The following is a 26937-nucleotide window of genomic DNA, read 5'->3' as shown; positions in this document are numbered from 1 at the left end:
TCTAAAACGGTAATTATGTAATAAATAACAGAATGATGTATTGGCTCATACAATTATAAAATTAAAACAGTAACCAACTGGGGATGCAAAAGTAGATCAGCGATAATCTGTGATCTAAAATGCAGTTACGATTTAGTTGAAGACAACACAGTTATTTCACGTACAACACTGAAAGGAAATCCCAGTAAAAAGGGCTTTAGATCTCTGGCTGATAGCAGAGTCCCTGATACATGCTAAGAGTATTCAGGGTGAAATTGAGCATGGAAGGCTGGGAGTCCATGGTGATTTCAACAAAAATTGTTAAGTATTTATTAGTACATATGATGTAATGGTAAACCAGTAGGCAGTGCTCCTAATACCTAGGCTCTAACCATCCTAAAAGAATCAAAAAAAAATTCTAGATAAAACTAACCGCACTAAGTTTAGCAAGGGAGATGTAACATGTACGTAAGGAGAAGGGAGAAGAATTAGCAATGGGACGGATGATCTGCCTGACACTCTAAGGGAGGCGGCATCTGAGACTGTCTGGTAATCATGGGTGTGTGATTGACTGGAAATGGCAAAAAAGGACATTCTAAGCAGAGGAGAGAGCCGGAGAAAAGGCAAAGAGTGGGAGGCACACAGATTCCAGGGGTCAAGGAGAACCTCTGAATAGCTCAAAGGATGAGTTGGCAGTAGACAAGAAATAAAGATGGATTCATATTAAAGAGAGCTTTGAATGCTACCCTGAAAAATTTGGACTCAATCTTTACGTAAATGAATGCCCCAAAATGCAAGCTCTTCTTATACAAATGACATTTCAGTAAAGCTGAAATCTTTATCACCCAAGTTTAATAATACTCTAATCACAAAATGAAAATTTTTATAAAATAATTTCAAAGCATACATTTTTAAAATCCTGTCACTGCTCTGAACAGAAATCAACTGGAATTTTGTAACACAGGGCTAAAATGGTTAACCAGGATATCTGGATTTTAGGATAGGGCCTAGCACACAGTAGGTACTCAATAAATAGACAAGTAATTTTATATTTCCTTTTGGACCTATACCAATATCAGGGATATGAAGCAGAGTATAATTTCAAAGCGTAAGAGACATGAAAATAATTTTTTTCTTCAATATAACATGAACTTTCAGGATCCTCAAATGCCCCTTGCCCCCATTTTCAATGTGTTTCTTTGTGTGGGCAAAACGTGAATTATGCCAGGGTTATTTCACTGATCATAAATTGCCCTTAATTGTTTTCAATAAAAAATGTTATTTAGTAAGACATAGTATAATGGGAGAAAAAAAAGAAAAGTCAGAGCTTGGAAACAATCTGGACATTTACATTTGACCCCTCCAGGTAAATGTGGTTCTCAAATTTCCACTGGTCTGTTAATTGTCATGGGAGTACAGTTATAAACGGATTACTGGCTTCCGTCGTCCTGTAAACCTTGTTGCAGCACTCTGCTATCATGAACCACATGAAATGAGGTACTTAGAGGACGTCCAATTCTAACCTCACTGAATGAGGAGCCAGAAATTGTACTTGTATCCGGCTGTTAGCGCAAGGTTTCAGACGGGAGGTACGCAGAAAGAACAGTGCATACTTGTTTCAAATACTGGTGGGCTGATTTTTACACACAGTTTTCTGTAGTTATCTGAGTTGCTTATATGTCAGAGCCACACCAGAAATCCTTAAGAAGGTACCGTCAGAGCCAATTAATTTAGGAAAGCTTTGTTGAGTCCCTTCCAGAGATCTAGAATTTCATGTGTAAGGGCAAAAAAAGAAAGACCAAAATGAGGAAATGTTTCTTTTTCTTTAAATTTGCAGCAAAACTCCAATTTATTAACAATTTAAAAGCATGCATTAGTATGTTTATAGAAAATGAGACAGTGTAGGAAAGAACTCAAAATATAATACTTGTTCATCTTCCCATCTCATTAGTCATTTCAGTGATTTTCTAAAGGAAACGAGAAAACAGTTCGTAAGAAAATTAGAATTCCCAAAACAAAACAAGCAAACAAAAACCACCCTAAAGGCAAAATCCACAAAATTGTATTTTCAAAGATGCAGATGTCTGCCTTACGCATAAATTTGGCTCTAAATAGGTGAGATAATTCTGGATAGAAAGGACTTTGGCACTACTCAGTTCTCAGGAAGGCCACCACTGTGGGCCAGCCAGGGCTATCTGAGCACACTCATGCAGCCTGGCCCCCACCACCCCCAACACACACACCCACACGCCTACTGATTTATGGGCATGACTAATTATGCTTCTTCAAAAACTGCAGTCCACACCCTTTTGGAAGTTTTCCAGACCACCAACTTCTGAGATGTGTGGGGGCGAACTGAGACCATGCTCACCCAGACATATGCCTGGAAAAGCCTCAGAAATGAGCCCAGGAGTTTGTGCCGCGCCCCACATCAGTCTTCTTGTCTCAAGGTCAGATGCTACACAGTCTCCATATCTAGTTTCCCAGTGGATCTTTCCCCCTAACTTTTGACTTTCTTATGTGCATACATCTAAATAAGTATAAGCTTTGGTGTTTCTGGTTGGCTGCAATATTACGGATGTAGTATGTAGAGTGAAAATCGTCCACTCATTATGGAGTCTGTGCTTCACAGAATATTTTTTGTATGACACGGAAGAGTAAAGGATTGATGTACTGGTGACATTTGAGCAATCATACCCACTTAATCCAGAAAAATCTCACTGAGCTAGAGTTACATAGTCTTCCAGCACCGGGAGAAGAAAGGCCACCAAGAATCACACATCAAAGTCACCTGTTACACTTTATCAAGTGAAAAAATAGATGAATAGCACTGATAACTCACAATAAATTTCAGTGAATACAAAAAATACATTTAAAAATTGTATTAATTTTTATATTTTGATTATTTAATATTACAAAAATTTCCATTTACTTATTTACTTTCATTCACCCAAAGTCTTACAGCTTTTAAAGGCCGCAATATTTTGATTAAAATCAAAATATTAAAATATTTAACATAATCCTCTCAATTATACTATACAGCTTTTAAAATATTACTGAATTATCAGCAACTAGGTTAAAATTAACATGGCACAGAGAGGCACGTGACAAGCAAAGTGGACATGAGTCAGTCAGTACATGTTCACTGCACATCTCTAGGACTGGGCAGGGCCAGATGCTTTGGAGAAGACTATTACTGGCCTTGCCCCAAGGAGCTCTAGTGAGTAGAGGACTCAAATTGCACCATATCATGCTTCCCTTCTGCAATTAGCATTTTGATACCCGGACCATGTGATACTGTCAAATCATGATCTTTCACTTTTTGCCACTTTTACTCACTCATTTAATAATATACAAAAGAACAGAATAGCTCACAAAGTCATACTGGACCCACTTCAAAAGACCAACTTCAATCCTGCAGGAGCTGGAATTTTAAAATGAAAACAAAACCAAAAAATATCAACTTCAACCTAGTCTTTGCAATGTGTGAGATTCATCTACGGTAGGTTAGACACCTGTGACAGACATGCACGAGATTAGGGGATCAACTGTCCTGAGACATATGGAGCCGAATCTAGGTGTTTAATTTAATGTCAGAAGATGACTTGGATGCTCAAGGTTTCTTGAGAAACCTTGAGATTTGAGAAGAGGCATCCAAATCCTCTCATCTACAGATATGGAAACTGAGGTCTATTGAGTTTAAGTGACTTACTAAGGTCACAATTAGTGATAAATTCTGGGTTAGAATGTAATTTTTCTGACTCTCAAAAGCACTCATTTTATTTACCAAAGTTTTCAAATACTATAACAAAGTGAGGCGGAATGAAATATATATAATGCTAATATATAACATATATATATTTGCATTTGGTTGTATCTTATCTTACCTCCTCCAAATTATTGAGACCTTCAAAATTGTATTTCAAAACAAACTTTCTGTTTAGTATTTAAACACTGTATCACAGTACAGAAAGGTCTTGGAAACCTAAGCTTAATTTTTGGCACTGTTTCACACAGATTGCTGTTAACATGCCACAAGCTGTAGACACTTAAAAATACTGTTTAATTTTCTTTAATCCATTTCGTTTTATGGATCTAAAGTGGCCATCAGACAATAATAAAGCAGTTTCCATAAGGAATAAATTGTTACTGCTTGACAAAAAACTCTTTTTATTCTAGAAGAGGGAAATATAAAAATGTCTTTTTCATATAATTATATTAAAAAATGTGTTAGTATGTTCTCTCATATTACAGCTGTTAGAACGTTTTTTTAAGCCACTGACTTAAGAGCTTTTCTTTTCTTCCTCATTTTTTCCTAATTAATTTCTGTTCAACCAAAGAATTCTTTCCTTTTATGGCTTCTGGTATCATGGCACTGCCTTCATCAAATGAGCATGCCCATTTCTGAGCTCTGCCCTTTAAAAAAAGCGGGTGGGAGGGGGGCACAAAGGTTTCTAAGAAGGAGGCTTTCCCATTTGGATGTCTGTCCTCATTTGGGGAGAGTTGGCGAATTTACTATCCCCTTCAAAAATTTTAACCTCCTTTGACTCAAAGAAGGACAGTGCTGGTACCCAGAGGAACATAATCTTTTAAAGCTACTAACAGCTCCACCAACATGGTCATATAGGAAAGCATCTGGTCTTAATAAATTTACTACATGAGTTCTGATAATAGTCTTGCTTTTGTTTATAATTATTTGCCAAATACATTTAAGAAAAGAACTAGAATGAATTTAGAATGTTGTTTTTCTTCAAAAGATTTCTGTTCTTGTATTTTCTCATATTTATTTTAGATTTTGTTTATACTTTAAATACCCAGAATTAATGAGGTTTTCTTATGTACTTTGCAAAGTTTACAGACCATTATTTTTAATCTCTTTTTTCTTTTTATGCTTTGAATAACTGCTTTTCTTTTTAAAGAATAGGGAAGAAAAGTCTGTTGAATTAAATAATATAGTCAAACAACTGCTCTTTTTACACTACAATCACTTCACTATTAAAAAAAGGCAAAGCATAAAACTGAACTAATTACATTTATTAGAGATCTGAAGAAGCGGTGCTATCTCTGCCAATACCTCCTACCTCCACCCTCACACCAACTGCCTGAATTTTAGAAAATCTGGAGAAATGAGGTGTCTAACACAAATTATTCAACAGGGTAGGACCATATATATATATATATATATATATATATATATATATATATATATATATATATGATGCATTAGTATATTTCTTACCCAAAGTATCTAAGCTCAGATAAACAGAAGTTTTTAAAAATCCATCTATCTCACTGACATGAATTAGCACTTAATTAAGACAAATGCAGTGATCAGTACTGATCCAGAAGTCAATACATTGGCTGTGTGAAATCTACTCCTTCTGTGCATATAGACATGGTTTAACATTACTTTCCGGTAAATAACATGTAATAAATGTAAGAAGTTCCAGCAAAGTAAGTGATCTTCTCCTATTAAAAACAAGCAAATTATCTTCTATTATTAAAAATATAAACACATTTTCCTTCTCTCTGAATTCAAAGACATCGATATATACATATTAGAAGTTATGGTTGAAACAGGTGAATTTTGTAAAAGGAATAATTAAAACTATGTATATATTTTATATATTTTAAACATGATCATATATCAGTTTCATCCAAGTATTTTCATCTCTTGGCCCCATCAACCTACTAACCTACTTTCTCTACATTTTAACAATTATTGACAAAAGATTAATATGAGTATGTTTCATCTCCTGTGGACTTGTGTACACACACACATGCACACACACTTGCATGAGTGTGCACACACATAGGAACCTGAACACATGAAACAATCATTGTAATACTTGAGGTCAAAAACACCATTTAACAAAGACAGTTTTTCTTTTCTTTTAATTAATTGTGTAATTTTCCCATTTCAGTTTCCATATATATATAAAGGAAGCCTAACTATGTGCTTATACTTATCGTTCAGGCTAGAATCCATTACTTTAATTATCTTAGAATGAGCAGAAAAATCTAATGTATTGGTAAATGTAGTTCTCTTAACAGAAAAGCAGATTTTAAAGGCATTTTCATTTTCAAACTAAGCTGGACATTCCATGTTTTCTATGTACAACCGCTGTTTCATTTTGAATCACTTTGGCACACTGCGAAGCGTATGCACTATTACAAGAGGTCAAGTTTTACTCAGTGAATCGATTCAACAGAAGAAGCAGAAATTTCCACAGAGGGAAGGAAATTGCCTTAAAGTCAGCTGGCATCGTTTTGTTTCAGCTTCTGGCTCTGAATGGTGGGACCAAGTACATACAGTGCTCTGTGCTACTTTGAAGAGCAGGAGGCTTGAAGGGCTGTTAGAAAGAGTAATGATGGAATTGTAACTGACGCACTCTCTGTCTGGTGAGACTACTCAGAAAAGACTAACAAGATTGCAATGACTAAAAGGCCTTTGTTGTCTAGGTAAGAATGAAAGTTTTTTTTCTTTTTTAGTTCTTTGCTCAAATGCTGAGCTTAAATTCATAAAAGCCAAAGATTCAGAGTGACTTACTGCCTTTGATCAGATTCCCAATATAGTCTAAATAACAGATCATTGTAAAGAATATGTAAAACAGTTTCTGTTCAAACAGTGATAAGTGCTTGAAAAGAACGCTCTATTTATGCTATGGTGCCTTCAACTTAAAACTTTGTTCAGTTGCTGATCAGAAGCCGAAGATGGCACTAAAGTTAATAGAACTGAGAAAATAGGTTACATTGCTTGGATGACTATGTCGATAAAAGAAAGTAAATGAGATGATTTTAAGACTGATGGAAGACACCCCAAGCCACATTTGCAATCCGTTTTTTGACAGCTTCTGTCCTCCTTCCAAAAGTCTGAATAAAATAGATTTTTTTTTTTGACAGAGTTTTGCTCTTGTTGTCCAGGCTGGAGTGCAGTAGCGCAGTCTCGGCTCACTGCAACCTCCACCTCCCGGGTTCAAGCAATTCTCCTGCCTCAGCCTCCTGAGTTACTAGGATCACAGGCGCCCACCACCATGCCCAGCTATTTTTTGTATTTCTAGTAGAGACGCAGTGTCATCATGTTGGCCAAGCTGATCTTGAACTCCTGACCTCAGGTGATACACCTCGGCCTCCCAAAGTGTAGGGATCACAGGTGTGAGCCACCACGCCCGGCCAAAATAGAGGTTTTTCACATGATTATAACAAAATAATTTTAGCTCAAGAAAGAAAAAAGACTAATCTTTCTACTCATCAAGACTATCTCATTTCTTCTCTGTGAGGATTAGCTAGGTAGTTCCATCTGTATCTCCTTCACAAGACAGAAAATACTGGGTCCTATATGACAAATCATAGCAGTAGGCTGGCTATGTTTATCTTGAAAAGGTTTGGCTAAATTTTAAAACATTTTAATTTTTTCAGACACTAAAAATTCACATTAAAGCAATAAGAAATCCACTCCTTTTCTCAAAAAAAAAAAAAAAAAAAACTCAACCATGCATCTCTTCATAGTTGTAATTTATTTTTGGCATCATCAAATGCGTTTTATTAAGTGCTTACATCTGTGATGAAAGGGCAATTTTTGGAAATTTTTGGTGCTTTCATAAGATTTTATCTTGCTTCTATATCAAACTGAAAACTCTTTAAAGAAAGAAACATCCTATGTAACTCCCCAGAGGCCCAGTGGAATTATTTGCGTACTCAATAAAAGGATTTGATTAACTTCTATTCCAGAAATTTCAGTCTTAGAAACCTAGAGATCTACTGGGAATGAATTTGTAATAATCTTCTAGTACAGCCTGCTTAAAAATCTTTGTTGTACAAAAATCTCTGCTTGTCTAACCTATAGTACTCTTGCTGTAATTTCTAACCAGCTGCTATAATATTATTAAACTTTTTGAAGTTGAGGAATCAAACTGCTGGTCAGCTTTTTACAAAACTTACCAAATGCTTCTTTTGGAATAATAAAACAGACCTACCACTTTCTATATCAAGATGAAAACATATAACTATTGGTTTTTTTATATAAATGTAGAAAAGGCCACTTGTAGTTTTAATATAGAATATATTTTTAACTTTACTAAACTCAGACATTTGAGAATACTCATATGTTTGCTATTTATTCCCCACTGAAGACTAGAATGTAAAAGACCAAGTAAACTAGAACACTTGAATAAAAAACAAATATGTAAAATAAGTACGTGTGGTATTAATATAATATGATCTAGATAAGGTTAGCTGCTTTTTCAGAAATAACTTCCACAATCTTAGTATGCTTCTACTTGGGACAGTTCTGTAAATGTGCACATGGTTGAGGACGCAGTAAAAACGAAAATGCTGATAAAAAATGGACATATGTTATCTGGTCTCTCAGTATGTTAAACTTCAGCTGGAATAACTAGAAAAGAAGGAAAGGAAATTATCCTTCCCCAATTCATTCCTTATCATTCCTGGAGACTTCCCTTGAGTTCACGGGAGTAGAAATTATTTCTCCCAAAGTAGTCCTTGGTTCCGCAACTGCATACGAATGAATCATAATCAAGGTCCCTTCCTCAAGCAAGAAAAATGAACTAGGCCCTCAGCTCCAGCTCCTTTGAGCATGAAAGCAAGCACTCCTTTAAATAACTGGTTAAACAGTGGAACATCTTCTAGGTGGGTTCTGGCTTGATTAAAGTAGCCTTCAGTGTTTCTCAAAAAATTCTGGTTTCTTCTCAAATGCAGTTCTATTGCTTTCCCTGAGCTATGGGAAGAGTATAAATAATAATAATAAGAAGAAACAAAATAAAATAAAATGCTGTTCTAATCTTTGAAAACCAAATTTCACCCTTAATTTTCTGCAACTCCCTATTTTTTCAGTTGCTAATATAAATTAACTGTTCCTCCAATTTCATCTAATATTCTCATCAAATTGATGTATATTTCTCCTAACCAGAACAAAGAGTTTGTCCTGTAAACATATACTTCTTACCCATGTTGTCTTATTTTTTGTATACCATAAAAGTTAACCAAGTATTTAATTCAAATTCCATGTTCCAAAAAGGGTTTGTCCAGGGTCTTCCTTAGCTAATCATAATAGACTGTTGGTACACTGAGTTTAAATTGTATTACTTGTTTGTTTGCAACATTTGGATAATTATAAAAATCAGTGATATTTAAAATAACTAACAATGTGCCTTGTAGGTACTTTTTACACGTGTACTCTAACTTCATCCTTCCAACAACCTGATAAGGCAGGCATTTTAGAGGGGTAAAGATAGAGGTTCATAGAAGTTACCTGCTTAAGAACACACAACAGTTAAACAGTGGAACTAAGCTGATAACTCAGGGCGTCTAGGTTCAAAGTCATGGCCTTAGACATCACTGCTTTAGCAGGCAGGCTCATACTTCTGTCATTTAGAATAATTAGATCATCAAGAGATGCATATAACCTGATAAGTCATTCTCCTGGTGCAGAAATACGCTATGCCTGTATCAGAACCATTCCAAGGTGACCCTCCATTTTTCCATTTAGTGCCCTTATCTTACCTCCTGGACCCTCTGCTGATACCAAGAAATCCTTGCCTTCATATTTTCTGTGCCTCATCACCCTGAATCCATTCTTCCCTTCATACATGACAAAATTTGGTATTTAACATTAAGTTCAAGCTTAGAAATAACTGACCAGTAGATATTAACATTTTAATAGGCGGTAGTTCATTCACCCAAAATCAGAATGAAATTCTATTGGCATCATAGAATAATAGAAGAGATTCTTGAAAAAACGGGCTGCCCTTGAAATGATATATCCCAGAAAACACCCCGCCCTTTGTTAAAATCACGTCTGAAATTTTCTTATCCTTTCTCATTGCTGATCTAGGTGGATACAACCATCCAGTTGGACACTGCAGTGTTTTCCATCAGCAACAATTCCCCAATAGAAGAAAGATAATTTTAAAAATGCATGCTAGAATTTCCTTATATCAGTCAGAAAACTGTTTCTATCCTGAACATATGGGCATGTGCTCACTCATTCCTGTTTTAAAGTCAAAGGACATACTACCTATCGAATTTTTTCAAAAACAAAACTAAAAACAAAAATTAAAAAAAAAAAACAGGACATTAGCCAGAAACAGTGGAACATTTACAACTGATTTATTTTTTATGAAATATCAGTGATTGATTATGCAGTATACTATAATTTGACACTTACCAAATGCACTATGAAAGTAAAGCAATGCTGAAGATAAATAATCTAACAACATATAATACCTATATTGTAAACAGTCATCTTGAATTTGCAAAGGTGTTCTGCACATTATGGGTAAGTCAATGAGAATGACCACTCGGCTCTGCTGAAAATCAGTTAACTATTTTAAAGTAAACATCTACCACAGGGTCAAACTGCTAGGATTTTATATTATATGATGTAATTTCCTTCCAGAATATTACATTCTGCTACTTTACATTTTTCTTAACAGGTTTGATTAACTTTATAAAAAGGTGGTCAAATACTGAGCATATTAGGTGTTTGGTTTTGATCTCCTCACTAATACTGGTTTTGTTAAGAAGCTGAGCTCCGCGGCTCCCGCAGATTAAAAAGAGGAAAACAACTAAAGCCTCCCACGGGAGGGCCCCCTCTTTCAGCAGAAGATTTGGGGACCGTTCTCATTCATACTCAGTCACAGTCAAATGCCTTTTAAGGGTGTTAGTTTAGTAAGCCATAACAGAGCTTTGGTTTTCTATTATTTCTTATTGTTAGGTTCAAGGTTCAGGGGGAACAGCAAAGGGAGAAATGAAACAGTCCTGATTAGTTATGTATACGGAATGCCTGATGGTCACTCCTAAGAAAGGTGTTTCATTCTTACTGTTTTATTAGTTGGTTGCTGCGTTTTGATTTGTTTTAACACCACAAAGCAGGCTCATATGTCCATGTAGATAAGAAAAACTAGGTTATCTCTAGTAAATTAAAAAAAAAATCACCAAGAATTCTTATCATTTCTCAGCCTTTTGGCTGTGATCAAGTGAAGAATTCTTCTTCAGTCAGGTGACAGCCAGAAATATGTATATATATTTATGTAATAAAATAAAACAAAATAAAAATTAATAAATTGATGTGATTTGTGAAGAGGAAGAGCAATGAAATTGTTTTAATGAAAGAAATTAAAGTTAATGTAGTTTCTACTACAGGTACTTCTGAAAAAAAATGACTACTATCAAGAAGGACAATAGGCCAGGAGCCATAGCTTATGCCTGTAATCCCAGTACTTTGGGAGGCCCAGGTGGCAGGATCACTTGAGCCCAGGAGTTCAAGACCAGCCTGGGCAACATAGTGAGACCCTGTCTCTACAAAAAGAAAAAAAAAAAAAGAGAAACAATAAAATTAATTTATATTTCTACATGCATAGTGAACTGAATATATTAAAGTTAAAAAAGCCTGGCCATTTACTCATATAGAATGACTTTATGAAACTCATCTAAATTAAAGAAGTATTAAAAAAATACTACTCTCTTTACTATATAACATCACCAGATGCTATGAAGGTAGATGGGAAGATTTAATCACTGCATAAATTTATGCTAAAGAAAGATGTCAAAGCAGGATTTCAAAAAGATAACTAAAGTGTAACAGCAGATAAACATCATATTAACTAGGGGAAAAACACAGAGGCAAGTAATGCAGACACATGGGTGAGATTATCGTCCTCCATAAATATGTAACTAAACATCAACATTTTCCAGTTCAAGTCATTTGGTGAAAAGCAAGGAAAAACAAGCATTAAAATGTTATGAATGAAAATAAACTTTGTAAAGCAGCATTTTGGAAAGTTCACGTTAAGAAAACTAATTCAAAATTCAGATTTAAAAAAAAAAAACTCTTCGATTTTTTTTTTACCCTGAAAGTAGGTTTTATTTAAATTTCTAGTGCATGTGCAATTCCAACTATTAAAGACTTCTGCCCCACAAATACTTAAGTAAGTACATAAAGCAGGCTGTAACTTAGGGAAGTGGATTCCTGCCCTTAGTACAAAGCCCATAGAGACTACCTAATCTCCTGGGAGAAGAACACAAAAATGGATCTGAATATGAGGTCTGAAAAAATGACAAAGGTGAGGGTTTTCTGACTAAGCCACATACATATTCTAAACTAATATAAAAGTTTAAAATTAAAGAAGCATCTTATACCATAATATTAAATTTGACTTATATTTCAAACATAAACAATATTTAGAAGACAAAAACAACACTGAAAAACTTCCTGTTTCACAAATACACACACAAAAATGCTTTTTGAACTTGAAAGTTGAATCAAAGGATTAAGTAAATGTGTTCCGTGAGAGGGAAATGACAGTTTCAGAGCAGAGATTACTTTGAGGTTTTCAGTACATTTTGTTGTTCTCTTCTATAAACTACCATAGTCTATTTTGTAAGAATGAAATGTTTAATAATAGATACACTGCTTTTTAAAAATTTTAGTTCTATTATATATTGTGATAAAGTATGCAACAGTGATTCTTAAATTGCCTTTAAGGATATAGCAGTTGAATCGAGAAATGCCTCTACAGTACTGTCTTTCATTCCAGCTGTGGAAGAGAGGGATGTTTTAAAATTAATTCAATGCAAAAACAAGACCATGCACTGCTGACTCACTCTGGTGTGGGTTCATCCTGGCCATAGGTTCCAAGTGAGTTTAAATGAACAGGCATTATGTAAATGGGCACTGCTGAATAAAAGGCAGCTGCTCTCTTGTACTAATCCAAAGCCTGGGGTGCTTTTAGAGCAGGCTGGAGACAATCCCAGACACCTGGCTTTTGAAAGACCACCAGGGGAATAAATAAAAGGGGTCCTTAAAAGCATTTTGAAATGAAATCTAATTTAAATACAAGATTTAGATATGTTTTGCTCAGCAATTTTTACGGTTTATTTTAGTTATTTAATACAAAAATTCTCACCTTAAAGGCACTATACTGTTCTTCAGTCAGCAAATACTTAGGAATTAAAATTTAAAAAAGGAATTCGTTGAAAACAGCAGATTTCACTTATTACTCTAAAATATACACTCTGGTACATTTCCTTCATTCCAATATTGACTTCTGCTTTTAAATATCTGGAACAGAAAATTTACAGATGTATACAGGTGAAGTTTCATAACTGCATCACCTGTTTAAGAAGCTGATATACAAACATTAACTAGAAAACACTTTAGAATGCTTACATTGTCCCAGGGTAAAATACAGAGTCATTTTAAATGTCTGGAGAAAGTTAGAAGCTTCAAACACACTGTAGGAAAATGATGATGGAGTTGTTTTATTTTTTTAAGAAACAATTATGTAAGGAGTTTGACTTAATTTTTTCAAACCATTTAGCTTAAATATTCCACAGCTAACAAAATTACTGTTATTAAATTTAGAAGGGAAACAATACACATATTATGAGAAATTACACGACCTAAAACAAGAGAATCCCTGAACATGCAAGACACAGATTCTACGCAGTGTTAGTACGTGTGTTTGTAGGTTCATATTTCTTTAATTCTATTAAACTTGTCCATGGGGGTTAGCTACTGTCACATTGTTTGAATCACTACAAAAGCCACAGAGAAGAGCAACAGTGTTGTGAAGGTAATGATCTTTCACTGGCCTCTCAGGAACTGGTTGTAAAATTTATTAGGAAAGTTCTATCCCTGGGCTACATAATTTTTTGGTGAGGCAGTAGAAATTGACGCCATCTATCTAAAAGAATAAAGTGGGCCATTTAGTTATCTGAATGTTCTCAGCCACCACAAATCCTGAAGACATTTGGTGTTATTAAAGGCATAGAAGTTTGAGTTATAGATGGGCAATTCGATCACGTATTTAATAGCTGATATGTATTAAATAGGGTGCTCTATTTTGTAGGATGAAACATAATTACAAAATACCAATCCTGCAGGGGCTAGGGGGTTGCTGATAATCTATTAGGAAGATGCATACATCCTGCATACATACAACACTTTGGAAGAGTGCTTTAACAGGAGCTAACTCTTAAAGCAAAAAAAAAAAAAAAAACAAAAACCAAAACATATAAAATATTGGACAAAAGTTTATGACTTTTCGTCTTTTGCCCATAGATTAAATCCCTTGACTTCTCAGGAATCATTTAAATGTTGTCTCATCTGAATTTCAAAACTTTCAATAAGAGCAGGACACAGTGGCTCATGGTTGTAATCCCAGTACTTTGGGAGGATAAGGTAGGCAGATCACTTGAGCCCAGGAGTTCAAGACCAGCCTGGACAACATGGTGAAACCCTGTCTCTATGAAAAATAAACAATTTAAATAAGTAAAACAAAAAAACCTTTCAACAAGCAACATCACTTAAGTAGTTTTGAGGGTAGAGCAAAAAAAAAAAAAATATATATATATATGTATGCCAAATATGTCCCCATTTTAAATAAATTTTTTTTCATTTCAATAATGAATCAAAGATCATTTGTAATTGCCTAATTTGATAATTTTCAGGGTGGTTCCATAGCAGAAATGCCCCAAAACAGTGAATCAGGAGCATCAGGCTGGCTGAAGACCAAGGGCAGCGGGTAGAGCCAGGGCCCGGGGACATGCTCCTCTGAGTGGCTCTGTGTACTGATGCTAAGCAGGAACTCCAATGCAGCCGGGCAGAAGAATGTGTAAGATATTTTTTAGATTGAGAAAGTGAAAGTGTTTGGGGCTACTTCATCTGGCGCAATTGTGGGGTGATCACACATTAAAAATAATGAAATGTATCATTGGGTCTTGGTGTCTGAATCTGGCAATGCAGATGGTAACACCTCGTGCAAGACAAAGGGGAACAAGAAGCCGTTATTAAGCACCACCTGAGCACCAGAGCACAGCGGCTTCTGCTCCGTGCGGGTCCCCATGTGGGTGCTTACAGGCTCATCTCATTCATAATTGATTTTCATGGGTCACCTTTTCCTCAAAGTAGCTTCCACTATCATCTCTAAAATTTGAATGTCTGTCCTGTCCATCTCCTAGGTCATGAATAAAACAGTACACTGACTGGGTACAGGTGGCTCATGCCTGTAATTCCAGCATTTTGGGAGGCCAAGGCAGGCAGATCACCTGAGGTCAGGAATTCGAGACCAGCCTGGCCAACATGGTGAAACCTCATCTCTACTAAAAATCAAAAAAAAAAAAAAAAAAAAAAAAAATTAGCCGGATGCTAATTTAGTAGTCCCAGCTACTCAGGAGGCTAAGGCTGGAGAATCGCTTGAACCTAGGAGGTTGCAGTGAGCCGAGATCACGCCACTGCACTCTAGCCTGGGTGACAGAGTGAGACTCCGTCTCAAAAAAACAAAAAAAGAAAAAAAAGTATACCAAATTTTAAAAATTTATATGTAAAAAGAGTTCTGCTAACTAAAACATTATGTAAATGTTGGTGACTGTTTTAACAAATAATTACGAGTTTATTTTAAAATTTGTCATTCTGAAAGAATATTCATTTTCAAACCAAAAAATATTCTATGTTTCAATTTCTATAATAACAGTAATAATAATGAACACATCTTGAGTGTTATGTACCAGGTACGATTTCAACATGTTTACATATGTAAACTCTGTAAGCCTCATTACAAATCTATGAGGTAAGCAACATTATCATCTCCTTTTTAAACACAGTGACACTGAATCACACAGAGGAGGTAATCTGCCAAAAGACACACGGTGGTGAAGCTGTAATTCAAACACTGCTAGTTCATTTTGAAGCCCACGCTCTTAACCAGTATGCTACTCCGCCCCTCAAATGTGCCATTTATATATTCATTCATTCTCTGAACATCATTTATTACACGCCTTCTATAGACGAGGCCCTACACTCATTGTGTCTTTTCTGTGTGATACAAGTCTAACAGTATGTGACCTTAAAGAATGGTATTTATCCTGTCCACAAGACCTAACTCACTAACGAAATCATTAACTAAACTATAAACGATAACTAAAAACATTACTAACGAAAATATTGTTCAAGGCATAGTTAATGTTGATCAAATGAGTCATCCACCTGCAACACTAAATGGCCGGAGCTACCGTACTGCAATGTGCAGCGGCGGCAGGGTGGGGGGCGGGGGTGTCATTCCAATTGTATCGAAAAGCCTCTACTCTCAGAGCCACTGAGCCATCATCCCAGTGTTCCGCATGCACCCACGTGCACACGACATGCAAAAGCGTGTTGGCTTTCTATGGAGATGGTTAACCAAGCTACTTTTCAAATTTAGGGGTTCAGCAAACCAATTACACTGGTTCTTCCTACACTGCCCTCATGAAGACAAACTTGGCTAAGCCTTACAGTGGCAATCAACTTCAATAGACACATCATTCCAGCATCATCTGGCCTTATACCAGGGGAAGAAACTGACAATAAGACAGTCAAAACCTGTCCTGTGCTGTCGGTATCTCCTTGGCAGGGGAAAAAGCAGGAGGGTCGCCTCTTAGTTATTTTCAGATGTTTTAAGTAGGCCACGCTCCTATGGGTCTGCCCCTTCATTCTGGTAGCACTTCTGTACAAGCACCCTGAGGAATCTTACCTTTAGAATTACGCAGTGGATAAATGAAAAGAATACCACTGAAAAAACAGCTTGCAAAACATCTCTGTGCATTCACTAGCATATAGACTTTTTATGGTTTGCAAATACTTGTGTGTATATATATATATATATATATTTTTTTTTTTTTAATGAAGCAGAGCAGAGGCCTGAGGTAACAAAGGTAAAAAGGAGACTCATCTCAAGTGTTCAGTATCACTCATTCAACAGAACATCAAGGCTTGGCCAGCTGCCAATAAAAATCTCTTTAAAAAAATCATAGGTTGCAAGGAGCCACTAAGAAAATTAATTTCTGACACAGTGAAAAGACAAAATATATTATGATCATGTTATCAGCCTCAAAATGCATTTTCTGAAATGTTGTTATGTGCCTGGACGTATTTAATCCTCACACCTGCAAACCCAGAGAACAGATTGCAAGTTCATTACACTGTTTGCAGCCTTTAAAGGATTTTTTTTCCTAGAGATAATATGTAACAAATATTTCAGTTGAAATAATGAAAATATCAATACTTGTAATAAAACTTTTCTTTAAAAAAGGAATTAAAAAATGAAAATGAGTGAAATAAAAATGTTTTTCCCTTCCCTTTAGACATTCTTTCAATTAGAAAGGAGACCAAACTTAAATTATAGCTACCAATTAATTTTTCTGCTCTGGAAAGTGAAATAAGCATCTTTCATTAAATTGGATATTAAAGCTCATTGGTTATACAAGGAATCTCCAGATTAATGGACTAGAGTTCTCCAGTTTCAATTATTTTCTTGATTTTCTAATACGCATTCAACTGCCTCCACCTCCCTGGTGGGGCTCTATCTGACCCCAAGTATTTAACTGTTTCCAATATTGTGGGTCATTCAGGTGAGCTTAAGGGGCATAACCTCCCTGTTAAAGTGTGTGTTTGTGTGTGTGTGTGTGTGTGTGTGTGTGTGAATTAGTAGCTAAGGAAGCTTTCCTTAGATGAAATCAGAAGAAGAGAAAAAAAAAAACACAAAAAGAGTGCCTACAAAAGTAGGCAGCTATCCAGAGCTTTTTTTTTTTTTTTGCAGCCACATACATTTAGATTTGTGTTTCAAGAATCCCAGAAGAATGAGGAAAAACAAAGAATCAGTTCCGAGTTAATGCTGTATATAAATTACATTTCTAATAGATGATCTATGTTTGTTTGAATTTTCATGAATATATTAATTTAAGAAATAATTCTTACTCTTAGAGACACTACCCTTAGTATCCAAATGTATTTAGTTAATGGATAAAGAGAAATTTCCCGCGATGACATAATTTGGTCATCAAGATAAACATCAAGATAAAGATAAATGTAGAGCACAGTGTTTAAGTAAATTAATCTTAATTTCTGTGTAAAACAATTTTTTAGTTATCAATTTGCATAAAGTCTGCTTTTTAAATGTTTTATGGCTTACAAGAAAGTGACTAAAGCATATTAATACAAAATAGCATTTTTTTCTATTTTGTACCACCAAAGAAGCAATCCAAAAGTCAAGATTTATAATATATTACATAAAAATCATCCATACTCCAGACATAGCTATAGAGAACTTACATACAAGAAAAATTGGTCTCAACATTTATCCACATTATCTTTAAACCTCCTGGAGATACTCCATGTGTGAAGTTGTCACCTTCCTTTCGCTGCTGGATTTACGTAACAAGCTGTATATGTGATTTTTCTCTATTTCCCATATCTCAGGACTCATTTCCAACCCCAGTGTCAAGTTCACGGGCAGATGATACCCATTTCCTCCTAATCAAGTATAAAGGCTCTCCTCCAAACTTCATTCTTCACAGCCTTCGGTATAGGCTGTCGGTCTTCCTATTTTGAAACTTCCTGGCCACATAGGATTATATCCGTGCACCTGACCTTGATACTTTTCCAAACTCCATAACCATGGCTTCCACTCCCATTCCTCATCTTTTTATTGGTTCCTAATTGAAAGCTTTACTCAAATTTTAGTCCTTAAGTCCTTGTTCTTTTATCTCTTTCCAGGGACAAATTTATTCTCAAGGTTTAACCACAACTTCCTACTAAATGCACATCACCAAAAATTCTGATGTGTTTTCCCTGAACTCTTGTCACAAATCTTCAAGTCCTACTGAATGTTCACTCTGACATTGCATTGTCATCTTAGATGCATGAAGGTGGGAGCCAAGGTCTGTCTTGATCACTTCCGAGCTGTAGGTGTCCAAGTGCTGCCTCTTAGGTGCTGAACCCTTATGTGTGTGGCACATCATAAACATTTGTTGACTCCATAAATATTTTAAGATTACTTGTCATTCTCCACTCCCATTTGACAGAAACATAAAAGTTCATTAAGACAGTGAGATTGGGAATAAATAGCTTTTTGTTTTTAACATTTATTCTCAGAATCCAGGATAAAATCTAGTAATCTTCATGGGATTCTTCCTGTCCATTCACGTAGCCATATTCATGTGGTCACAAAGTCAAGTCAACTGCTCATGTTTATTCATGTTGGTATGTAAGAAAGAACTGTTAAATTTACTCTGCATTGGGCATATCCATTTCCTAATATTGCAGTAAGGATTCACCAAGATATTCACTACTATTACTTTGAAACTAAACTCTGTATATTTTAATACAAGATCTTTACCACCCTGGTAAATGTTTCTGGGTGGCAGAAACATATCCACCAAGATATTCTGTTTCTCATTATTTTTAACATGGTCTTTGCATATAGTAGGACTCGATTGGTAACTTTCTGAAAGTATGAATAAATAATTTTAAATTCAGCCAGTAACTTTATGATTATAGTTTCTCGGTTTTTCAGATGCCTTGATTGCCAGTGGCCAAAATAATCAATAAAAACATTTTGAGTATAGGGTTATTCTCCAACACAATTTAGAAGACTGATTTCTTAAATAGTATCTTGTGCATTTGGTTCACAAAATCTTATCACAGCCAGGGAACGAATGAAGTCAAATTTCTAAGGTTGAGTACTAAACAAAGGATACATGGTAGCTACTCAGAAAGAGCCTAAAGCAGCAAACCAACTTCATCTTTCATGAAATATCTCCTTTGGTACCGAATTAGATACTGTTTTGTATTGCAAACTTTAATGGACGTGTCTTATCTCACTTTGAAGACTGACAACTGTTTGCAGTCTTTCCCTCCCCACACAGTCCTGACTGTGCACTTACTAGGTCTGCAGTATACCCTTCTTAAATACACATCCAGTGTTAATGCCAGATTAACATGTGTTAGTAAATACAAATTCAAATTTATAAAAACTGAAATGATATCCTATGGAAAACCCATGTACAACACGACAGACATTTCACAGAGAGCTAAATATTTATAATGGTGTACTACAAAAGCCAATTTAGATGTCTCGGTTAATATTTTTAATTATGTCAGCTCATGAATATTTTATATCAAATCACTTCTTTCTCCTTGCCAAATGAAAATGATCATAACATAAGACCTCTTTTGAAGTCAAAACAGACCCTTTCCTAATAAGGTACAATAAAGAAGAAAAAAAAAATCAAAGATACAGAAAATTTAAATATTTTCTATATATTCGTAGTAAACCTAAGCACGGTTTATAAAAATCAGTTATTAAGCCATGAAAATTCATTTTAAACTATTTAATAGTCTTGTGATATCAACTTAGCCACTTTTAGTAAGACTTTTACAACACACTATTTATTAAACTTTTGTTTTTTATCTGAATGTTCTAAAATCAAGCACTCGAATGATGAGAACCATAGTCTTTGGTGTGGAAAACATACTTGGCACTGAACTATGTTGTGCATTACAACCAATCTATCTGGGTTATAAATTTTAAGTTAAAAATAACTACCCAAGAGACTGAGAGACTGCGGTAGGAGGATTGCTTGAGCCCAGGAGTTCCAGGTTACAGAGAGCTATGATTGTGCCACTGCATTCCAGCCTGGGCAACAGAGTGAGACCCTGTCTAAAAACCAAAACAATAAATTTGTGGAAAATAGAAAGGCTGCTAAACACATTTTTAAAAACAGAAATGAGACAACACTCGGCTCATACAAGAAAAAAACAGAAAGAGGTTTCTATTAGGGAAAGGGATTGAAAGGAGAAGTAGGAAAATGCCAAAAGTATAATATGACTAGCTCCCTGATTTAATCTTGGGCTCATAGACTAATTAAATATAACAGTATCTAGTAACTCAGGGAGACATTATGCTTTTTAATTTATTAAACATACTAATTTAAAAGCTCATGTACATTTACTTACGTGGTATTAATATATTTTTGTGTTACTGCCTTGTTAGCTGAAAGCTACTTTTTATTCTGTTGGAAGCAGGCAATACTTCCTGTAAAAATTTTATGGGTCAGAACTCAGTGAATTAAAGGTATTTTTCAAATTTATTAATAAAATTTCTTTGATTTTTAAAGCATGTATTGACCCTGATGATCACTCTACAATAGCTGTTATGGGAATAACATTTAATTTTGCCATGCAAAACTACCGATGATGTATTTTAAATAGTAAGAAGCATCAAAAGTCGCATTAGATAGTTTTAATTGAAAAGAAAAAAAACTCACTTAAAAATATTTTATGTACCAGCTCAACATAACACATGTACATCATCACTGAAATTTTACTTTGCCACTTAACATTTTCTGTGATTTATCTAATGAAATTAGCTAATGTGATTTTATTATTGCAATTTCTGCTATAAATCTTACAGGAGCTTTGTGGTTTTTTTTCTTTTTACTTGGAAAAAGATCAAAATGCTTGCAGACTTCAGATTGCTATTAGATGTAATAATTATACACTAAACTAATTACCATTAACCAAAACCTGACTTACAACTAATTAAATTTTATTACATCATCATAGAGTGTAGGCTTTCAATTTAACACAGGGCACAACTATAAACACAAGAGTCTATCAGCGTGTATATTTATTTCAAGTAAAAGGCGTAGATCAGATTTATAAAGTTTGAATTTGGCAGGGTTTGTAAACCAATTTGTCAATTTCACAAATCTGCTAATTTGCCAACTTCTAAGGAGAAAGAAAGGTGCTACTTGCAAAGCAAATACACTGGATTACACCATAATAGTTTAGACAATAGCTAAATGCATATTATACAAATATAACTACGTTATAGAAGAAAGTATGAAATGCAATGAAAAAATCATTTATTTTCAGTTCAGAGGTACATTCTATTTGTGACATCACTTATCTGACATTACCGACATACAAATTGCCAAGCCCTAGTTTCTTCTGTGCAAAACAAGTAACAACATGTATGCTATCTTAAAGGAATGAAAGACATATGAAACACAGAATCCTTAGCTGACATGAAAGTGCCAATTTGTTTACTGTTCAAGGAACCAATGAAGATCAAATGGCAAAATCAGTTGCGATCTAGTATGCATCTCAAAACAGTGGCAGAATCTCCATTCATTCTTCAATGAAAGTACACTTAAATTTGTCATTCACAACAATCGGAAACTATAAGCGATTCACTTTATAAACTTTAATTTTATAAAAAATGTTTACTTTCTACCAGATGGTAAGATTAAATTACAAAAACACTGTCAGCAAGTTGAATCCTCAGATGTATTCATTCCCACCACAGAAGCTTCAAAACCTGTCTATAATTTTGTTACTGATGTTTAGAAACAGCTGTAGCTGACATAGCTACATGTTATATATGTCAGCTTTAAAGGATTAAATATTCTTAACCCCCACAGGAGAGGTCTTTTGCTGTTAACAAACGCCAATGTAAATTACACCGGAAGTTATTACTGTAGTAGAGATATCTCACACTACATTATTTGGTAAACAAAATGGTCAAGAGTCACACGTTTCTCATTATTACTGGAAATTCTGTTTGACTTGGGCAAAAGAAAGATTTTAAATTCACAGCACTTTCTGATAATAAATATAAGATAAATTCTCCTCTAAAAAGCTCCTCACATATATCTTCATTCATATTTTAGGTGGTAGTAAATTATATATTTTTCTCTTCAGAAGAATTCAATCCATCTCAGGAGACTTCTTTTCCTCGTGCAGATTTTTACTTGAATTTTTGGGAGAATCCTGCTGTCTCTCCCATTAGAGTTGAAAAGTATCTTTACAATAAACATTCAAAACTAATGGTAGAAACAGCAGGATCTTCTGAAATGCTATACCCCAAATTTTGTACTCAGTTAAGCTATCTAAAGGAACAGAACCAACCTGACTCGCCAGACTGCAGGCTTCAAAAATCACTTGGTTTATGAATTAATCTCATTAATTTTCAAGAACCACAGATTAATAGTGGTCAAATGTACAGATCTTAGAAGATGGCATTCATTCACACCCACGTGTGTGTGTGTGTGTGTGTGTGTGTGTGTATGGCATGATTATATGACATATATCTGTCCATATACGTTTTCCCTCATATAGCTGTCACTTTTAAACATCAGTCACTTTGGACCATGTGAATGATTTTTTTAAGCCTGTAAGTATACATATAAACAAATATTCTAAAAAATTGGGCAAATACAATTAATTGTATACAGTGTGTTATTTTTTCAGAACATATACATGAATTTTTTTCAGAAGATATAAATGAAAAATGGCCAACATAAATGAAGAGATAAAATGGGCTAACTGTTGAGCAGCACTAAGAGATATCCACTTAGAGAAGAAAATTCAACACAAATTTCCAAAATTAATGCAATTATCCATACCTATAATTCATGTTCATTTAAAGTTACATCTTAAACTTTTATATACAGTATAATAATTTTATGCAAATGACTATGGTGGGGATAAGTCTCAATACTATATTAACAACAGAGACTTTTAGAGATGCTGAAAGAAACCTGTAAGGTGAAGTTTTTCATTTCTTTTAACAGAAGCTAATAGAAGTATCAGCAGCGGTTTCATAGAGATCCAGGAGCTTAACACAAAGCCTGGGTGAAAAAGAAATAAGTCAATAATTGGAGAAAACGAAGGCTAGTTTCCCAGAGAGAAGAAAATACATATGTGGGCTGGGCACGGTGGCTCATGCCTGTAATCCCAACACTTTTGGAGGCCAAGGCAAGAGGATTGCTTGAGCCCAGGTGTTTGAGATCAGCCTGGGCAACATAGTGAGACCCAGTCCCTATAAAAAATAGAAAAATTATCCAGGCGTGGTAGCACATGCCTGTAGTCCCAGCTACTCGGGAGGCTGAGGTGGGAGAATTGTTTGAGCCCCAGAGATGGAAGCTGCTGTGACCCGTGATTGCACCACTGCACTCCGGCCTGGGTGTTGCAGTGAGACCCTGTCTCGAAAAAAAAAAAAGAAAAGAAAATATATATGTGATTAAAAGTGAAGAGTAGAGTGAACATAGCTTTGGGGTCTAGTCCCTTTAGTTTATAACTACATGTAACTCACCTAGCTCTAATCGAGAGGTGTGACGGGATGAACAGAAATTCAAGTTTGTCCTTTTTACTAAATATCGTTATAATAATATCCAAATTTAATGCAGTGATTAATATTCTGTATCATAAAACAATTATAGTTCTACAAGGGAATTTACTTATTTATTTATTTATTTAAGACAAGGTCTGACTCCGTCACCCAGGCTGGAGCACAGTGGCATGATCTCAGCTCACTGCACCTCCACCTCCTGGGCTCAAGTGATTCTCCCACCTCAGACTCCTCAGCCTCCCAAGTAGCTGGGACTACAGGCATGCACCCCTGCACCCGGCTAATGTTTTTTTTGTATTTTGTAGAGACGGGGTTTCACCATGTTGCCCAGGCTGGTCTCAAATTTCTGGGCTCTAGCAATCCACCAGCCTAGGCCTCCCAAAGTGCTGAGATTATAGGTGTGAGCCACCACACCAGGCCTACAAGAAAATTTAAATGTTATTTTTTAATTTTTTTAAGACTCAGGTCTACACAAGAATTCTTTTTCTTTAATGTATTCTTTATCAAATTCTACATCCTGTTATGCCTCCTGAATCTAATTGTACATTTAGACTATAAATTAGCATAATCAATATACTAAAGCAAGGCATTTCATATGTATTTAATACAAGAGCAAATATTTATTCCAACTTTCTGTTATTCATTCAACTTTCTACTAATTATGTAAAATTTATACTTCTAAGCCTAATGAGATGAAACAAACCTTTTGCAGTTTTTAAAAGGAAAAAAGGCATCCCTTTTGATAAATGTCTTCATTTTGTACACCAGATGTCTTTCCCTATCCTCTCAAGCTTTCTGATTTTATTTTTGTAAGTGTGAGAACAGTGAAAATGCCAGCCATTGTAATCAGTTAGCTTGAGCACCAGCAAAGATTACACAGCAAGATCTTATCTTAGTGGTTTTACATAAATACTGCACTTGAAGTACACTTAACTTTTTGAGACCCACAGTTAACCATAGAGCACACCAAAACCCACATTAGATTAACTCTATCTTATAGGTAGCCCACTTCAATAATCTCATTTTAAACCCAACACAGAATGTCATCCACAAAACAACTTAGCTAAAATTCTAAACATAACTTGCTTCTTCTCTTTATACCTTTATGATATTCTAAGTCTTTAAAAAAAAAACCCAAGAGTTTAACAATTATAACAAATAATTTCACAAGAGTAAACATGTGGATTTTTTATAAAGGCAGCAGGAATTTGATTAGAAATACTGTCAAAATCTTGCTTGTAATTCCAGCTACTCGGGAGGCTGAGGCAGGAGCATCGCTTTAACCTGGGAGGCAGAGGTTGCAGTGAGCTCAGATCGCACCACTGCACTCTAGCCTGGGCAACAGAGCAAGACTCTGTCACAAAAGAAAAAGAAAAGAAAAGAGAAGAAAAGAAATAAATGTCAAAATCTATCATAAAACTACTCAAAATATTACCTGCATACTATGGGCAATTTTGCTAAATGTGATGTAGTTTGGGGTGAACTGACACAAAGATCCGCTTGGCAGCTGCAAAATGATACCCAAATCTACACCAGTTGATGATGCCATGAAAAATTCAAGATGAAATTTTAAGATTTACCTGTGCAGAATGGCCATGACTGAGGTGCCAAGCTTCAATCTCATGGCAGAAGCCCAGGGGGCCCTCCAGACACACTGTTTTCCTCCCTGCTCTTCCCTCAATCATATCGTCAATGCTGAAGTCCCTAAGAATGGCTTTAGAAAAAGGTGCTATGACATTATCTGCCTTTATAGTTTCCTATGGAAAGCTGCAAATGTGCCTGAACAGAGTTTTAAAGCATGCTCTTTGACGATGTCTCTGAGAAGGTATCTTTACGAAACAGCCACATTAAATTTGGTAGTCTTTACCAACGGGACAACGGAGTAACCTGGGTCAACATACATAAACGCACATTTTAAAAAACTGCTTTTACAGGCCGGGTGCGGTGGCTCACGCCTGTAATCCCAGCACTTTGGGAGGCCGAGGCGGGCAGATCATGAGGTCAGGAGATCGAGACCATCCTGGCTAATGCGGTGAAACCCCGTCTCTACTAAAAAGACAAAAAATTAGACTGGCGTGGTGGCACACGCCTGTAATCCCAGCTACTCGTCGAGAAGCTGAGGCAGGAGAATCGCTTGAACCTGGGAGATGGAGGTTGTAGTGAGCCGAGAGCACGCCACTGCACTCCAGCCTGGATGACAGAGCGAGACTCTCTCAAAAAAACAAAAAACTGCTTTTACACCTGCCCTGCTTCACCCCCCAAAAAAGAGTGAAAGGGGAGTCACTCAGTGTGCATTTTAGGTTTCCACCCAATGTGCTGCATGCTGCAATAACAGAATAACTTAAGGGACCCATGGAAGCTGTATACATATTTTCTAAAAGTCCCAGAGTTCCTGATGGAAAGTTGGTTTTCTAAGTAGTGCAAGGAGATATCTGTTTAGCCTGTTCCTCCCAGCTGATGACTATGTGTGCCTAAGCCTCAGTTAACCGCTGACTCAGATAGCTCTCTAGCAGCTCAGGAACACGACGGAACGTGTAAGAAAAATTTGCTAGGATGTTAAACCATAGAGGCAGCCACAAATCAGAAGTCAGCTTGCTTATCAACCTGAAGTCTTTCCAAAGTGAGAAGTGAACATGGGTCAAATAAAAGGAAATTATAAAGTAACTTTTTGGTCCTCAGCAAATTCCTAAATATAATGCATAATCTCAGCCCTAATGCATCCTTACAACATAGCTGGAATGGAACTCCGAAAATAATGAAATAAGTATTGATCATAGAATCACTTCACTACCTACTAGTAAGTCCTGAGGAGAAATGAGGGATCTGAGTTTCCCTGGAGTAGATGATGCCTGAGAAGGGACTTGAAGGATGACCAGATTTAAACCAGTGGCTTCTCAACCCTGACTGTGCCTTACAAACACTAGGGAGGCTTTTAAAACTTATTTCCTATGTCTAGAGATTCTGAATTAATTAGTTTGGGGCAAAATCC

At 35.6% G+C, this 26937-nt stretch overlaps 1 protein-coding gene and 1 non-coding gene across 22 annotated transcripts in view, besides 3 other annotated features; both read right to left on the bottom strand.

Annotated features, from left to right (window-relative positions):
• TENM3 (teneurin transmembrane protein 3) overlaps positions 1-26937 on the bottom strand; it is a 1355412-nt gene that overhangs the window by 611066 nt on the left and 717409 nt on the right. The window lies entirely within an intron of this gene.
• Positions 1462-2661: an enhancer, noted in NCBI's record as "MED14-independent group 3 enhancer chr4:183110451-183111650 (GRCh37/hg19 assembly coordinates)". NCBI's record gives its function as "activates an origin of replication core promoter dependent on BRD2, BRD4, P300/CBP and CDK7 cofactors, and independent of MED14, by STARR-seq in HCT116 cells {active_cell/tissue: HCT116}" and the evidence as "EXISTENCE:reporter gene assay evidence [ECO:0000049][PMID:35650434]".
• Positions 1462-2731: a biological region, named in NCBI's record as "MED14-independent group 3 enhancer GRCh37_chr4:183110451-183111650".
• Positions 2230-2731: an enhancer, noted in NCBI's record as "H3K4me1 hESC enhancer chr4:183110381-183110882 (GRCh37/hg19 assembly coordinates)". NCBI's record gives its function as "activates a minimal SCP1, AML or CMV promoter by ChIP-STARR-seq in naive H9 embryonic stem cells {active_cell/tissue: H9 hESC(naive)}" and the evidence as "EXISTENCE:reporter gene assay evidence [ECO:0000049][PMID:30033119]".
• MIR1305 (microRNA 1305) lies at positions 22581-22666 on the bottom strand. The gene has a single exon (NR_031640.1). It is a non-coding gene; the product is annotated as a microRNA 1305 (primary transcript).

This window comes from Homo sapiens, chromosome 4, assembly GCF_000001405.40.
Source record: "Homo sapiens chromosome 4, GRCh38.p14 Primary Assembly".
Lineage (NCBI taxonomy): Eukaryota > Metazoa > Chordata > Mammalia > Primates > Hominidae > Homo > Homo sapiens.
The sequence above is the reverse complement of the archived record's forward strand: the minus strand, read 5'-3'. Positions and strand labels throughout refer to the sequence as shown.